This window comes from Homo sapiens, chromosome 15 (assembly GCF_000001405.40).
Source record: "Homo sapiens chromosome 15, GRCh38.p14 Primary Assembly".
NCBI lineage: Eukaryota > Metazoa > Chordata > Mammalia > Primates > Hominidae > Homo > Homo sapiens.
The window spans coordinates 44,676,159-44,692,409 of NC_000015.10; the positions used below are offsets into that span (position 1 = coordinate 44,676,159).

Sequence of the window (16,251 nt, forward strand, 5' to 3'; positions counted from 1 at the left end):
CCTCTTTGAACAAGTTCCACCTGCCCTGACTCACTGCAATTTAACCCTACTGTGTGCCATATACTTTACGTGCATATGTTCATTTAACAGTAATATGAGGCTGTCCTGGGTTGTTGTTGATAATTTTACTAGGTTGGTGAGAAAAATAAAGCCCAGAAGAGTGACCTTTCAGTCACCCATTATGATATAATTAGCAAGTGGAAGAATTTGGAATAACTTCCAGTGACTCTGGACATCCAATCCCATATGTGAAACAGACCAGCAACCTCTGCATGCTGGGGCATTTTATATAACATCACGGCCCACTTGTTGATACCTTCAAGGCAATTCATCTTGGCAGGCTGGTGGACTTCCTTCTTAGCCGTGTCCTCCAGTGAAACAGCATTGCCAGCCTCTGGAAGGTAAACCTGAGACAAGAAAGAGGCCAAGAGGCACCATCCTCAGTCAGTAAGGATGACATGGCACCCTAAAACAGCCATGGAATCCTCCCAGCAAGATGGTTAGAGAATTCTTGGCCATGGTCTTGAGGAGAGAGACCCTGGGGTCTCAGACTGCCATAAACACCCACCCTCCCAGCTCGGCTCTAGGGAGCTGTCCCACAAAGGGACAGAAATGAGGCACAGGCTAGAAGCAGGAAGAGAAGTACTTCCCAACCGACATCACCAGTCACCGTCCGAGTGTGGTGATGCCTTGCTGCCGACACCCACCACCTGACTGTTGCTGTCCTTTCTGTTTAAGTTATTCATAGCAGCCTGGGCCAGGACCTGTTTGCCGCTCCTGGCTTTAAAAGTCCCAGCTCCTCCCCTGCTCACCCATTAAAGGGCTAGCATCCTCCATCCATTGGGGCCTGATGGAAATATGAGAACATAGTTTAATGATTAAAAAAACGCTTGAATGGAGAAAAGACATAAACTGCATTTTTAGCCATCCATGGCTTTTAGTACAGTTTATTGGGATTGATATTTGGGGGCAGATAGTTAAAAAGAGGATCCCTGTTTTCCACACCCTTCATTGGTAGTTTGTGAGGTTGCATTTAATTTAATCCCTAGGTTTTGCTTCAACAAAATTGGATAGGAAAGTCCTGGGTAGATCCTGGGGAGGATGCCTAGCAACCACATTCCTGGCGCTTCAGGGCAGCGTACTTGAAGCCCTCAAGTCCACCTGATGATGCTTGCCCTTCACCGGGTCATGTGAGCTTAAGTCAGCTACTCAGCTCTGACTGATGAGAGACCCCTGTGAATTTGGAAGTCAGATCTTCATGGTAAAAACACTTTTGCATGAGATACACAGTCTTACATCTTCTTGGCTGCTCTAATGGCAAACTGGTCCAGAAGCTCAGGAGTAAAAACAAATCAACAACAACAAAAACAAAAACATAGCTGCTCCTGGTAGGCAAAACCCAACACCCTCCCAAGTCTCATCTAACCCTCAAGCAACCCTGGGTTCTGTGCCCACATCCTGTGTTCAGCTGAAACCCACATGACTTTGTAGAACTTCTGAATAAGAATAAAAACTAAGTTAATTTCCCTACATCAAAAATGAAAGTTAGGACCCTCTTGTCATGGTGATAAGACCATGATTCTTGGTGCCTTTAAAGGAAAATATTTGTTTCAGAAGTTTTACTGCAGGTCATAACTATATGGGTGGGGGAACAAATATAAGTAGCTTGAAAGTTACTGAAAAACTTCTCATATATCTTGAGATAGCATCTTACTCTGTCACCCAGGCTTGAGTGCAGTGGCATGATCTTGGCCCACTGCAGCCTCCACCTCCCGGGTTCAAGATTCTCCTGCCTCAGCCTCCCGAGTAGCTGGGATTACAGGCGGCCACCACCATGCCCAGCTAATTTTTGTATATATATATATTTTTTTTCAGTAGAAACAGGGTTTCGCCATGTTGGCCAGGCTTGTCTCAAACTCCTGACCTCAAGTAATCCACCTGCCTTGGCCTCCCAAAGGGCTGGGATTACAAGCACAAGCCACCACACCCAGCTGGGTTCTGGCCTTTTTGGTAATGTTATTCAGCTGTTTCTCTCAGGAACTTCCTAATAACGTACTTTAGCACTATTAACAAAAGGACCACATGGTGAATTTCAGTGTTCCAGAGGTGATTCATTAGGTTGTTGTAGAGACTAGATCTTAAGGAGAAACTTGTTGCATGAAGATTTTCATTCTGAAGGGACTTCTGGTACTGACTAGTACCAAAGCAGGTGGACTAGGGCTCAGTCTTAAAGATCACAGCCCTGCCCTGGCTGTTTGGAGTTTCACTTGGGACCTACTGTTTTTTATGAAGGTCCCCTACCCTTATCTGAAGTCTCATATGTCTACTGATCCCCTAGATGTTCTAACTTTCCTGCCATCATTTCATTATGTTAAGTTCAAGCCAAGCCTATGTTAGGCTTGGGGTAAACAGTGAATAAAGCAGATGCTTCCCACAGCCTGTTAGAGCTTCTTCTAGAATAAGAAGTACACACAGGTACACAGGATTGTTGGGTCAGATTTTAAAAAGACATTAGAGTGGCTCATACCTGTAATCCCAGCACTTTGGGAAGCTGAGGCAGGAGGATAGCTTGAGCCCATGAGTTCAAGACAAGCCTGGACAACATAGTGAGACCCCATCTCTATTAAAAATTTTTTCTTAAAGAAAAAAAATGACATTAGAAATATTTACATTTGCTACATAAAACACTCTTTTATGGGGAGATTTTTTATCCATTGTTTCAGGTTCTTTAATAGCAGTAGATCTAGTCTGGCTTTCAATTTCTTCTTGAGTTTTAAGTTATATATCTTCTAGGAATTTGTCCATTACTTATAAATTTTCAAATTTGTTGGCATAAAGTTGTTCATAGTATAAGTGTATTTAAAAATCCATGCTATAACTGTACTTTGTCTCTCCTGCCCCCTTTCATTTACTTGTTTATTTTGAGACAGAGTCTTGCCTGTCACTCAGGCTGGAGTGCATTGGCACGATCTCAACTCACTGCAACCTCCACCTCCTGTGTTCAAGCAATTCTCCTGCCTCAGCCTCCAGAGTAGCTGAGAATACAGGTGCACACCACCATGCCTGGCCAATTAATTTTTTTTTTTTTTTGAGACAGAGTCTTGCTCTGTCAGCCAGGCTGGAGTGCAGTGGCACCATCTCGGCTCACTGCAACCTCTGCCTCCTGGGATCAAGCAATTGTCCTGCCTCAGCCTCCTGAATAGCTGGGATTACAGGGGTGTGCCATGCCCGGCTAATTTTTGTATTTTTAGTATAGAAGGGGTTTCACCATGTTGGCCAGTCTGGTCTTGAACTCCTGACCTCAGCTAATCCACTTACCTCGGCCTCCCAAAGTGCTGGGATTACAGGCGTGAGCCACCGTGCCTGGCCAATTTTTTTTTTCTTTTTCTTTTTCTTTTTTTTTTTTTTTTTTTTAGTAGAGATAGGCTTTTGCCATGTTGGCCAGGCTGGTCTCAAACTCCTGGCTTCAAGTGATCCACCTGCCTCGGCCTCCAGAGTGCTAGGATTACAGGCGTGAGCCACTGCGTCCGGCCCTTTGTCTCCCTTTTTATTCCTAATATTATTCATCTCCTCCTTTGTTCTTCTTTCTAGAGTTTGTCTATTTTATTAGTCTTTTTAAAGAACCATGTATGTCAGGTTTCCTTCAGGAAATAGATGGTGTATTCAAACTGGATAATCTAATAAAGTTATATTTATAAAAGTATAGAAAGAGTATAGTGAAACCACAAGTAATAGCAGAATCCCCTGGGACTGGGACAAGAGGATGGAGCAGTCACCAGAACCTGGAGACAGAGAGGGCTGCCTGGCTTCAGATAATGTCAGCATCTGTGCTGTATGAGTTCCAGTGTGGCAGCCCTCTCCTAAATTACCCCAATTCCCTCTGGATCTGGGATCTGCTCCCTCCTCTTGCCCCTGAGGTCTGGGGGTGGGAAAGGCTCCCCACTCTTGCTAGTTCCAGGGTGCTTCACTGGCCTTTATGAGTTTCCCTTCACCCTGTTCACACCTTGGTGAATATTCTCTTCCTGACATGCTCCTCAGTTACACCACTTGAATGTGCCATCTGCTTCTTGTCGGGACCATGACTGACACTGCTCCATCACCAGCCTGCTGAGCTGTTCTTTAATTTGTCCTTGTTTAGCTGCCTTTCCCATACATCCCTCATCAGTGATTCTAAAAAATAGGCATTGTCCTCCTCCAGTCTTCCATACAACTCCCATCTCTACTCTCAGCAGTCAACCTCACCTCTTATGTTATGGGGAAAATAGAGGCCATTGGGGCTGATCCACTTCAATTCATACTTGGAGGAAATTATACACAGCCACAGGCCCCCCACCTTGCACTTCCAGGTGGGGGGCTCTCCTCCTCTTCAAGTCCAGACTCTCTTCCTGGATGCTTGGCCCTTCAGCCACTTTTCTCTGTGTCTTGAGCCTCTCTGTTTTCCCCTTTCTTTTTCTTAGTGTATAGGATAGAAATATCAGGATGTGTCCACTTCTTGGAGACAAATCCCTGTCTTGTTTTTGTTTCTTATTTTAACTGCCCTTCAGGTCTCTCCTACCTAACAAACCAAACTTCTCCATTTCCTCACATCATTCCTTCAACTGTTGCTTTCTGGCTTTTGACTCCATTATAGTGGTGGCAACAGGGACAAACAGACATAATCTCCATAAGCCCCTTCAACACTTTTTCTGGACAATTGACAATTATTTGACGTATTAGTTCTCTGCAAATGCAGGGTCAAGACAAGTCCCCTACCCTTACTTCCACCTAGATGCCACCTATATAATTCTCGGGCTTGAAAAAGTATATCTGGAGCTAACATTACTAGTTACTCCGCAGAGACTTTTCTCAATACCATTACCAGTGATTTTTCTTTCTTTCTTTTTAGTTTTAGAGATGGGGTCTCGCTCTTTCACCCAGACTGGAGTGCAGTGGCACGATTATAGCTCACTGCAAACTTGAACTTCTGGACTCCTGCCTCAACCTTCCAAGTAGCTGGGACTACGGCATACACCACCACACCCAGCTAATTTTTAAAATTTTTATAGAGATGGCGTCTCGCTTTTTTGCCCAGACTGGTCTCAAACTCCTGGGCTCAAGTCGTCCTCCCACCTTGGCCTCCCAAAGTGCTGGGATTACAGATGTGAGCCACTTCTCTCGGCTGTGATTTCTTAACTGTAAGTGCAAAAGACATGTTTCAGTCCTGACCTTAGCTGACATCTCTACAGCATTCAACACTGCTGATCACATCCTCCTTGGATCTCTGTGCTCCCACAGCTTCCCAACACTTGTCTCCTGGCTCTTCCAGTACCTCTTGGGTCATTTTTCTTTGGCCCTTTTCCTGCTCCCCTCATCTTCTTCCCATCCTTTGAATATCCGCTTCCTCAGGCTACTTCTCAGTCCTCTATATATCAAATATTCTTAATCTGAGGATCCCCTGAAATTGTGTATATGTTGGTGTGGTTTTCAGTATGTTTGTTTTTCTGGAAAGAGCATCTGTAGCTTTTATCACATCCTCAAAGGGATCAAGGATCTGCAAAGGTTAAATCCTCTGCAACCTGATATCCCTGGGCAATCTCATCTCATGCTGATGATTTCCAAGTTGTTTTGTCAGATCAGACACCCCTCAACTTACAACACCTCAGTGTTTCTCATGTCCCATTCTTTACATAAAGCATAAGCCCCTTTACAATCTGGCCCTGACTGTCATAGAAAGCAACCAGTCTCCTATCTTAAAGTTCCCTACCTTCTAGATTGAGTTTCAGAAATAGTAAACTGCTTTTAGCTGCATGGAGAAATTAGGGTTCCACTTTAGCCTTCTCTCGTAATCGCTGTGCACCAGGTTGTCCCTACACTGGAGACCTCTCGCCCTTGGTCTGGGAGCTATATTCTGTTGTTGATTAAGGCAGCTTTCTGTTCCAGTTCTGTCTTTCCAATGATATTGAAAGTGTGTATCTTAGCAGGTAATATGCTGTGCATTATGTCATATAAGCAACATGAAGTTACAAAGTAAGAGTTGTTTTAATTGGAAGGTGATTTCAGAATTGTCTTTATTGAATGGTCTTATTCTAATATTCTAGTTATTCAAATGGGAAAAACAAACTCGGCCCAGGATTCATCTCCTCCAGGAGGCCTTCTCAGATAGGCTTTTCCCTTCCAGCCTGGGATAGGCACCCTTATGTGTGCTCACTGATCCTTATGCTTTTTGCTCATTGCACCTACCACACTGTGTCGTCATTCTGTTTCTAAATTTGTCACTCCCACTTGCAAGCAGAGATGTTCCTCATCTCTGTGCCCCTGGCACTTAACACAGTCTCTGGAACAGAGTAGGTTCTTAGTAGATGTTGACTGAGCTGAACTGGAATGGAAAATTATGGACCTTTCCCTGAGAGAGAGACTTCTTCAGAGGGGTTTCTTGCCAGCCACCTGGGTGTGTCCTACTCCAGCTCACTCCTCACGTTCTTCCCAAGAAATTTCATTCCAAGAAACAAACCAGAATATCTAAGCCAGAAATCATAAAAGAAAAGATACGTAGATTTCACTAAAGAAAGTTAAACTTCTATATTGAAGACATATTTATGCCAAAGTAAATGCTAGATGGAGCAAAGATTTAAACATAAAAAAAATCTCAAAACGGTGGCTGGCAAGATGGCCAAATAGGAATAGCTCTGGTCTGTAGCTCCAAGAGAGATCAACACAGAAAGTGGGTGATTTCTGCATTTCCAACTGAGGTACCCAGCTCATCTCACTGGGACTGGTTAGACAGTGGGTGCAGCCCACGGAGGGTGAGCCAAAGCAGGGTGGGGCATTGCCTTACCCGGGAAGTGCAAGGGGTTGGGGAACTCCCTCTCCTAGCCAAGGGACTGTGAGGGACTGTGCCTTGAGGGACGGTGCACTCTGACCCAGATACTACGCTTTTCCCATCCTCTTCACAACCCACAGAACAGGAGATTCCCTCAGGTGCCTATGCCACCAGGGCCTTGGGTTTCAAGCACAAAACTGGGCAGCTGTTTGGGCAGACACTGAGCTAGCTGCAGTTTTTTTTTTCATACCCCAGTGGCGTCTGGCATGCCAGCGAGACAGAACCATTCACTCCTCTGGAAAGGGTGCTGAAGCCAGGGAGCCAAGTGGTCTAGCTCAGTGGATCCCACCCCCACAGAGCCCAGCAAGCTGAGATGCACTGGCTTGAAATTCTCACTGCCAGCACAGCAGTCTGAAGTCAAGCTGGGACACTTGAGCTTGGTGGGGGGAGGGGCGTTTGCCATTACTGAGGCTTGAGTAGGTGGTTTTCACCTCACAGTGTAAACAAAGCCACCAGGAAGTTCAAACTGGGTGGAGTCCACTGCAGCTCCGCAAAGCTGCTGTAGCCAGACTGCCTCTCTAGATTCCTCCTCTCTGGGCAGGGTATCTCTGAAAGAAAGGCAGTAGCCCCAGTCAGGGGCTTATAGATAAAACTCCCATCTCCCTGGGACAGACAGAGCACCTGGTAGAAGGGGCAGCTGTGGGCACAGCTTCAGCAGACTTAAACATTCCTGCCTGCTGACTCTGAAGAGAGCAGCGGATCTCCCAGCATAGTGCTCAAGCTCTGCTGAGGGACAGACTGCCTCCTCAAGTGTGTCCCTGACCCCCATGCCTCCTGACTGGGAGACACCTCCCAGCAGGGGTCGACAGACACTTCATACAGGAGAGCTCCGGCTGGCATCTTGTGGGTGCCCCTCTGGGACAAAAATTCCAGAGGAAGGAACAAGCAGCAATCTTTGCCGTTCTGCAGTCTCCGCTGGTGATACCCAGGAAAACAGGGTCTGGAGTGGACCTCCAGCAAACTCCAACAGACCTGCAGCAGAGGGGCCTGACTGTTAGAAGGAAAACTAACAAACAGAAAGGAATAGCATCAACATAAAAAAAAAAAAAATCCACACAGAAACCCCATCCGAAGGTTACCAACATCAAAGACCAAAGGTAGATAAATCCATGAAGATGAGGAAAAACCAGCACAAAAAGGCTGAAAATTCTAAAAACCAGAACATCCCTTCTCCTCCAAAGGATCACAACTCCTTCCAGCAAGGGAACAAAAGTGGACAGAGAATGAGTTTGATGAATTGACAGAAGAGGCTTCAGAAGGTGGGTAATAACAAACTGCTCCAAGCTAAAGGAGCATGTTCTAACCCAATGCAAGGAAGCTAAGAAGCTTGAAAAAAGGTTGGAGGAATTGCTAACTAGAATAACTAGTTTAGAGAAGAACATAAATGACCTGATAGAGCTGAAAAACACAGCACAAGAACTTTGTGAAGCATTCACAAGTATTAATAGCTGAATTGATCAAGCAGAAGAAGGAATACCGGCGATTGAAGATCAGCTTAATGAAATAAAGCAAGACGACAAGATTAGAAAAAAAAAATGAAAAGTAATGAACAAAGCCTCTGAGAAATATGGCACTATGTGGAAAAGACCAAATCTACATTTGATTGGTGTACCCGAAAGTGATGGGGAGAATGGAAACAAGCTGGAAAACACTCTTCAGGATATTATCCAGGAGAACTTCCCCAACCTAGCAAGACAGGCCAACATTCAAATTCAGGAAATATGGAGAACACCACGAAGATATTCCTCGAGAAGAGCAACCCCAAGACACATAATCATCAGATCCACCAAGGTTGAAATGAAGGAAAAAATGTTAAGAGCAGCCAGAGAGAAAGGTTGGGTTACCCAGAAAGGTAAGTCCATCAGACTAACAGTGGATCTCTCTGCAGAAACCCTACAATCCAGAAGAGAGTTGGGACCAATATTTAACATTCTTCAAGGAAAGAATTTTCAACCCAGAATTTCATATCCAGCCAAACTAAGCTTCATAAGTGAAGGAGAAATAAAATCCTTTACAGACAAGCAAATGCTGAGAGATTTTGTCACCAACAGGCCTGCCTTACAAGAGCTCCTGAAGGAAGCACTAAACATGGAAAGGAACAACCGATACCAGCCATTGCAAAAACATACCAAATTGTAAAGACCATCAACACTATGAAGAAACTGTGTCAACTAACGGGCAAAATAACCGGCTAGCATCATAATGACAGGATCAAATTCACACATAACAATATTAACCTTAAATGTAAACAGGCTAAATGCCCCAATTAAAAGACACAGACTGGCAAACTGGATAAAAAGTCAAGACCCTGCCAGGCACGGTGGCTCACGCCTGTAATCCCATCACTTTGGGAGGCCAAGGCGGGTGGATCACGAGGTCAAGAGATTGAGACCATCCTGGCCAACATGGTGAAACCCCATCTCTATTAAAAATACAAAAAATTAGCTGGGCCTGGTGGCACACACCTGTAATCCCAGCTACTTGGGAGGCTGAGGCAGGAGAATTGCTTGAACCCAGGAGGCAGAGGTTGCAGTGAGCTGAGATTGCGCCTTTGCATTCCAGCCTGGGCAACAGAGTGAGACTCTGTCTCAAAAAAAAAAAAAGAAAAAAATCAAGACCCATCAGTGTGCTGTATTCAGGAGACCCATCTCATGTGCAAAGACACACATAGGTTCAAAATAAAGGGATGGAGGAATATTTACCAAGGAAATGGAAAGCAAATAAAGCAGGGGTTGCAATCCTAGTCCCAGATAAAACAGACTTTAAACCAACAAAGATCAAAAGAGACAAAGAAGGGCATTACATAATGGTAAAGGGATCAATGCAGCAAGAAGAGCTAACTATCCTAAATATATATGCACCCAATACAGGAGCACCCAGATTCATAAAGCAAGTTCTTAGAGACCTACAAAGAGACTTAGACTCCCACACAATAATAGTGGGAGACTTTAACACCCCACTGTCAATATTAGACAGATCAACGAGACAGAAAATTAACAAGGATATTCAGGACTTGAACTCAGCTCTGGACCAAGTGGACCTAATAGACATCTACAGAACTCTCCACCCCAAATCAACAGCATATACATTCTTCTCAGCACCACATCGCACTTGTTCTAAAATTGACCACATAATTGGAAGTAAAACACTCCTCAGCAAATGCAAAAGAACGGAAATCATAAAAAACAGTCTCTCAGACCACAGTGCAATCAAATTAGAACTCAGGATTAAGAAACTCACTCAAAACTGCAAAACTACATGGAAACTGAACAACCTGCTCCTGAATGACTACTGGGTAAATAACAATATTAAGGCAGAAATAAATAAGTTCTTTGAAACCAATGAGAACAAAGACACAACGTACCAGCATCTCTGGGCCACATTTAAAGCAGTGTTTAAAGGGAAAGTTATAGAACTAAATGCCCACAAGAGGAAGTAGGAAAGATCTAAAATTGACACCTTAACATCACAATTAAAAGAACTAGAGAAATAAGAGCAAACAAATTCAAAAGCTAGCAGAAGACAAGAAATAACTAAGATCAGAGCTGAACTGAAGGAGACAGAGACATGAAAAACCCTTCAAAAAATCAGTGAATCCAGCAGCTGTTTTTTTGAAAAGATCAATAAAATAGACAACTAGCCATACTAATAAAGAAGAAAAGAGAGAAGAATAAAATAGACACAATAAAAAATGATAAAGGGGATATCACCACTGATCCCACAGAAATACAAACTAGCATCAGAGAATACTATAAAAACCTCTATGCAAATAAACTAGAAAATCTAGAAGAAATGGATAAATTCCTGGACACATACACCCTCCCGAGACTAAACCAGGAAGAAGTTGAATCCCTGAATAGACCAATAACAAGTTCTGAAATTGAGGCAGTAATTAATAGCCTACTAATCAAAAAAGTCCAGGACCAGATGGACTCACAGCTGAATTCTACCAGAGGTACAATGAGGAGCTGGTACCATTCCTTCTGAAACTATTCCAAACAATAGAAAAAGAGGTAATCCTCCCTAACTCATTTGATGAGGCCAGCATCATCCTGATACCAAAACCTGGCAGAGACACAACAAAAAAAGAAAATTTCAAAGGTCAATATCCCTGATGAACATTGATGTGAAAGTCCTCAATAAAATACTGGCAAACCAAATCCAGCAGCACATCAAAAAGCTTATCCACCATGATCAAGTCAGCTTCATCCCTGGGATGCAAGGCTGGTTCAACATACACAAATCGATTAACGTAATCCATCACATAAATAGAACCAATGACAAAAACCACGTGATTATCTCAATAGATGCAGAAAAGGCCTTCAACAAAATTCAACACCCTTTCATGCTAAAAACTCTCAATAAACTAGGTATTGATGGAACGTATCTCAAAATAATAAGAGCTATTTATGACAAACACACAGCCAATATCATACTGAATGGGCAAAAACTGGAAGCATTCCCTTTGAAAACCAGCACAAGAAAAGGATGCCTTCTCTCACCACTCCTATTCAACATAGTATTGGAAGTTCTGGCCAGGGCAATCAGGCAAAAGAAAGAAATAAAGGGTATTCAAATAGGAAGAGAGGAAGTCAAATTGTCTCTGCTTGCAGATGACATGATTGTATATTTAGAAAACCCCATAGTCTCAGCCCAAAATCTCCTTAAGCTGATAAGCAATTTCAGCAGTCTCAGGCTACAAAATCAATGTGCAAAAATCACAAGCATTCCTATACACCAATAATAGACAGAGAGCAAAATCACGAGTGAACTCCCAGTCACAATTGCTACAAAGAGAATTAAGTACCTAGGAATCCAACTTACAAGTCATGTGAAGGACCTCTTCAAGGAGAACTACAAACCACTCCTCAAGGAAATAAGAGAGGACACAAAGAAGTGGAAAATCATTCCATGCTCATGGATAGGAAGAATCAATATCGTGAAAATGGCCAAAGTAATTTATAGATTCTCTGCTATCCCAGCACTTTAGGAGGCCAAGGCAGGCAGATCACGAGGTCAGGAGATTGAGACCATCCTGGCTAACACAGTGAAAACCATCTCTACTAAAAATACAAAAAATTAGCCAGGTGTGGTGGCGGGTGCCTGCAGCCCCAGCTACTTGGGAGGCTGAGGCAGGCGAATGGCGTGAACCCGGGAGGCAGAGCTTGCAGTGAGCCAAGATCATGCCACTGCACTCCAGCCTGGGTGACAGAGCGAGACTCTGTCTCAAAAAAAAAAAAAAAAACTAGCTAAATAATAATAATAATAAAAAAAATGCTATCCCCATCAAGCTACCATTTACTTTCTTCACAGAATTAGAAAAAACTACTTTAAATTTCATATGGAACCAAAAAAGAGCCCGCATAGCCAAGACAATCCTAAGCAAAAACAAACAAACAAACAAACAAAGCTGGAGGCACCATGCTACCTGACTTCAAACTATACTACAAGGCTACAGTAACCAGAACAGCATGGCACTGGTATCAAAACAGATATATCGACCAATGGAACTGAACAGAGGCCTCAGAAATAACACCACACATCTACAACCATCTGATCTTTCACAAACCTGACAAAAACAAGCAGTGGGGGAAAGGATTCCCTATTTAATGAATGGTGTTGGGAAGACTGGCTATCCATATGCAGAAAACTGAAACTGGACCCCTTCCTTACACTTTATACAAAAATTAACTCAAGATGGATTAAAGACTTAAATGTAAGATTGAAAACCATAAAAACCCCAGAAGAAAACCTAGGCAATACCATTCAGGACATAGGAGTGGGCAAAGACTTCATGACTAAAACAATAAAAGCAATGGCAACAAAAGCCAAAATTGACAAGTGGTATCTAATTAAACTAAAGAGCTTCTGCACAGCAAAAGAAACTGTCATCAGAGTGAATGGGCAACCTACAGAATGGGAGAAAATGTTTGCAATCTATCCATCTGACAAAGGGCTAATATCCAGAATCTACAAAGAACTTAAACAAATGTACAAGAAAAAAGCAAACAACCCCATCAAAAAGTGGGCAAAGGATATGAACAAACACTTCTCAAAAGAAGACATTTATGCAGCCAACAAACATATGAAAAAAAGCTCATCAACATTGGTCATTAGAGAAATGCAAATCAAAACCACAAAGAGATACCAACTCATGCCAGTTAGAATGGTGATCATTAAAAAGTCAGGAAACAACAGATGCTGGGAGGATGTGGAGAAATAAGAATGCTTTTACACTGTTGGTGGAAGTGTAAATTAGTTCAACCATTGTGGAAGACAGTGTGGTGATTCCTTAAGGATCTAGAACCAGAAATACCATTTGACCCAACAATCCAATTACTGGGTACATACCCAAAGGATTATAAATCATGCTGCTATAAAGACACATGCACAGCTATGTTTACTGCAGCACCGTTCACAACAGCAAAGACTTGGAACCAACCCAAATGCCCATTAATGATAGCCTGGATAACGAACATGTGGCACATATACACCATGGAATACTATGCAGCCATGAAAAAGGATGAGTTCATGTCCTTTGCAGGGACATGGATGAAGCTGGAAACCACCATTCTCAGCAAACTAACACAAGAACAGAAAACCAAATACTGCATGCTCTCACTCATAAGTGGGAGTTGAACAATGAGAACACATGGACACAGGGAGGGGAACATCACACACCAGGGCCTGTTGTGGGGTGGGGGACTAGGGGAGGGATACCATTAGGAGAAATACCTAATGTAGATGACTGGTTGATGGGTGCAGCAAACCACCATGGCACATGTATACCTATGTAACAAACCTGCATGTTCTGCACATGTACCCCAGAACTTAAAGTATAATAATAAGAAGAAAATCTCAAAAATACTAAAAGAAAATATATGAATGTTGGCCAAGCATGGTGTCTCACACCTGTAATCCCAGCACTTTGGGAGGCCGAGGTGGGCGGATCACCTGAGGTCAGGAGTTCGAGACTAGCCTGACCAACATGGAGAAACCCCATCTCTACTAAAAATACAAAATTAGCCAGGCATGGTGGCACATGCCTGTAATCCCAGCTACTCGGGAGGCTGAGGCAGGAGAATCGCTTGAACATGGGAGGCGGAGGTTGCCATGAGCTGAGATAGCGCCATTGCACTCCAGCCTGGGCAACAAGAGCGAAACTCCGTCTCAAAAAAAAGTGAGTGTTTTCTAAATGTAAAGACGGACCTTCTAACTATCACCCCAAATCCATAGGCTATGAAGGGTGGCTGACAAATTTGTCTACAAAAAAATTTAAGATTGCTGAGTGGCAAATATAAAACCACAAATAAAGTCAAAATATTTTTTTTTTTTTTTTGAGACTGGGTCTCACTGTGTTGCCAAGGCTGGAGGGCAATGGCACAGTCACAGCTCACTGCAGCCTCCACCTCCTGGGCTCAAGTGATCCTCCCACCTCAGCTTCCTGAGTAGCTGGGACCACAGGCACACGCAACCATGCCTGGCTTTTTTTTTTTTTTTGGTATAAACAGCATCTCACAATGTTGTCTAGTCTGCTCTTGAACTCCTGGGCTCAAGTGATCCTCCCACCTTGGCCTCCCAAAGTGCTGGGATTACAGTCCTGAGCCACCATGCCTTTATTTTTATCTGGTAATCTTAAATTTACCTTTGAAAGTCATTTAAAAAAACTTATGGGTAAAAATTATTTTTGTTGTTTCTGAAGATGTTAAGAGTTCAGAAAAAGAGATATTTATGTTAAGCTCAGATCTTTTTAGCAATAGCTTCTTCACAACTGCTTGTTATCATATATTATCCAATCAGTAACCATGTCAAAATTAACATAATGCTGTTGACAGATAACATAAAAATAAGTTTGCTATTTTCTCTGACATTTACTTTGAAAATTCTTTACTTTAGTTAAGTGTGAATGTCTGTTAACACAGAATGTCTGTGTCCTTATGGAGACTGAGAAATCTTTGACCATGCTTTTTACTTTTTCAAATAGAAAAACTGTCCTAATTTAAATAATAATTTAAATTTATATTTTAATTAATTATAAAAATATGAGCTTTGGGGAATATAGGCTAAGTGTATAAAACTACTTTTTTTAACTGATATTTTATGTTAAAATATATTTGGTTATAAAAAACTCAAAAATGTTATTGTTTTTCAAAACCATGCCTCTATTTACATTACAGGAAAGGTGCACATATAGACAGAGAAAAGTTGAGATTTTGTCTACCAAACCTATGTTCAATCCATAATAGGTAATTGTCCAATGATTTATAACATAACATAAAAAGATTTTCTGTGATTAATCTATAACTGCTACGCTTACAGAGAAACTTCTAGGCAGGAGAAACTTTTAAAACAGATTGTGGCCAGGCATGGTGGCTCATGCCTGTAATCCCAGTACTTTGGGAGGCCAAGGCAGGCGGATCACTTGAGGTCAGGAGTTCGAGACCAGCCTCACCAACATAGCAAAAACCCGTCTCTACTAAAAATACAACAGTTATCTGAGTGTGGTGGCATGTTCCTGTAATCCCAGCTACTTGGGAGGCTGAGGCACAAGAATTGCTTGAACTCAGGAGGTGGAGGTTGCAGTGAGTTGAGATCACAGCACCACTGCACTCCAGCCTGAGCCACAGAGTGAGACTCTGTCTCAAAAAAAAAAAAAAATTAAATTAAATTTAAAAATAATATAAAGTAAACCTGGGCACGGTGGCACACACCTGTAGTACCATCTGCTCAGGAGGCTAAGAAAAGGCCAGCCTAGGCAACATAAAGAGACTCTGTCTCAAATAAATAGATAAATAAATAAGATACAAAGTAAAACAAGGAGATACAATTGATGATAATGACCAGCTAGGGGAAGAGTGTGGGGAGATAAATATCGTCCTTATTTTATAGAGGGAGGATAACCTGGTACAAAGACTCTGGAGGCAGTTTCACAGTGTGTAGCCTGAATTATAATAGGGAAAAACTGCGAACATCTTCAATACAGGATTAGGTAAAAATGTATGGCATGTTTTATACAATGAAATACTGTGAACACATGAAAAAACAATATAGATCTCTATTATTATAGAAATAGATACACTGTCCATGATAAACGGTTAAATAAAAAGCAGTTTGCAGAGAAATCTCTGCACAATGATTGCATCTTTGTAAACATATATATTCATATTCATATCTGTATATAAATAGAGAAAGAATAAACAATGGATTAGCAGTGGTTATCTTTGGTTTATAGAATAACAGGTAATTTAAATGTTTATCTTTATCCTTACCTATTGTCTGAAGTTTTCATAATGGCCATGAATTTTATAATTAGAAAAAATAAAGCTATGTGGATAAGGTTTGTAAAATAGCAAACAAAAAATACCCCAAAGACAAAAACCAACGACAACAAC

General features: G+C 42.2%; 1 protein-coding gene across 17 annotated transcripts in view; it reads right to left on the reverse strand.

Moving 5' to 3' along the window:
• PATL2 (PAT1 homolog 2) overlaps positions 1–16,251 on the reverse strand; it is a 45,659-nt gene that overhangs the window by 10,427 nt on the left and 18,981 nt on the right. For 9 of the 17 annotated variants that reach the window (NM_001387260.1, NM_001387261.1, XM_011521339.4 and 6 more), the window contains one exon: positions 317–407. In NM_001387260.1, coding sequence (NP_001374189.1) covers positions 317–332 — 16 coding nt within the window. In that variant the 5' untranslated portion in view covers positions 333–407. Of the gene's footprint in view, positions 1–316; positions 408–568; positions 1,706–16,251 lie in introns of those variants that run through there. The other 8 variants (NM_001330283.2, NM_001145112.2, XM_011521341.2 and 5 more) reach the window with 6 other exon arrangements.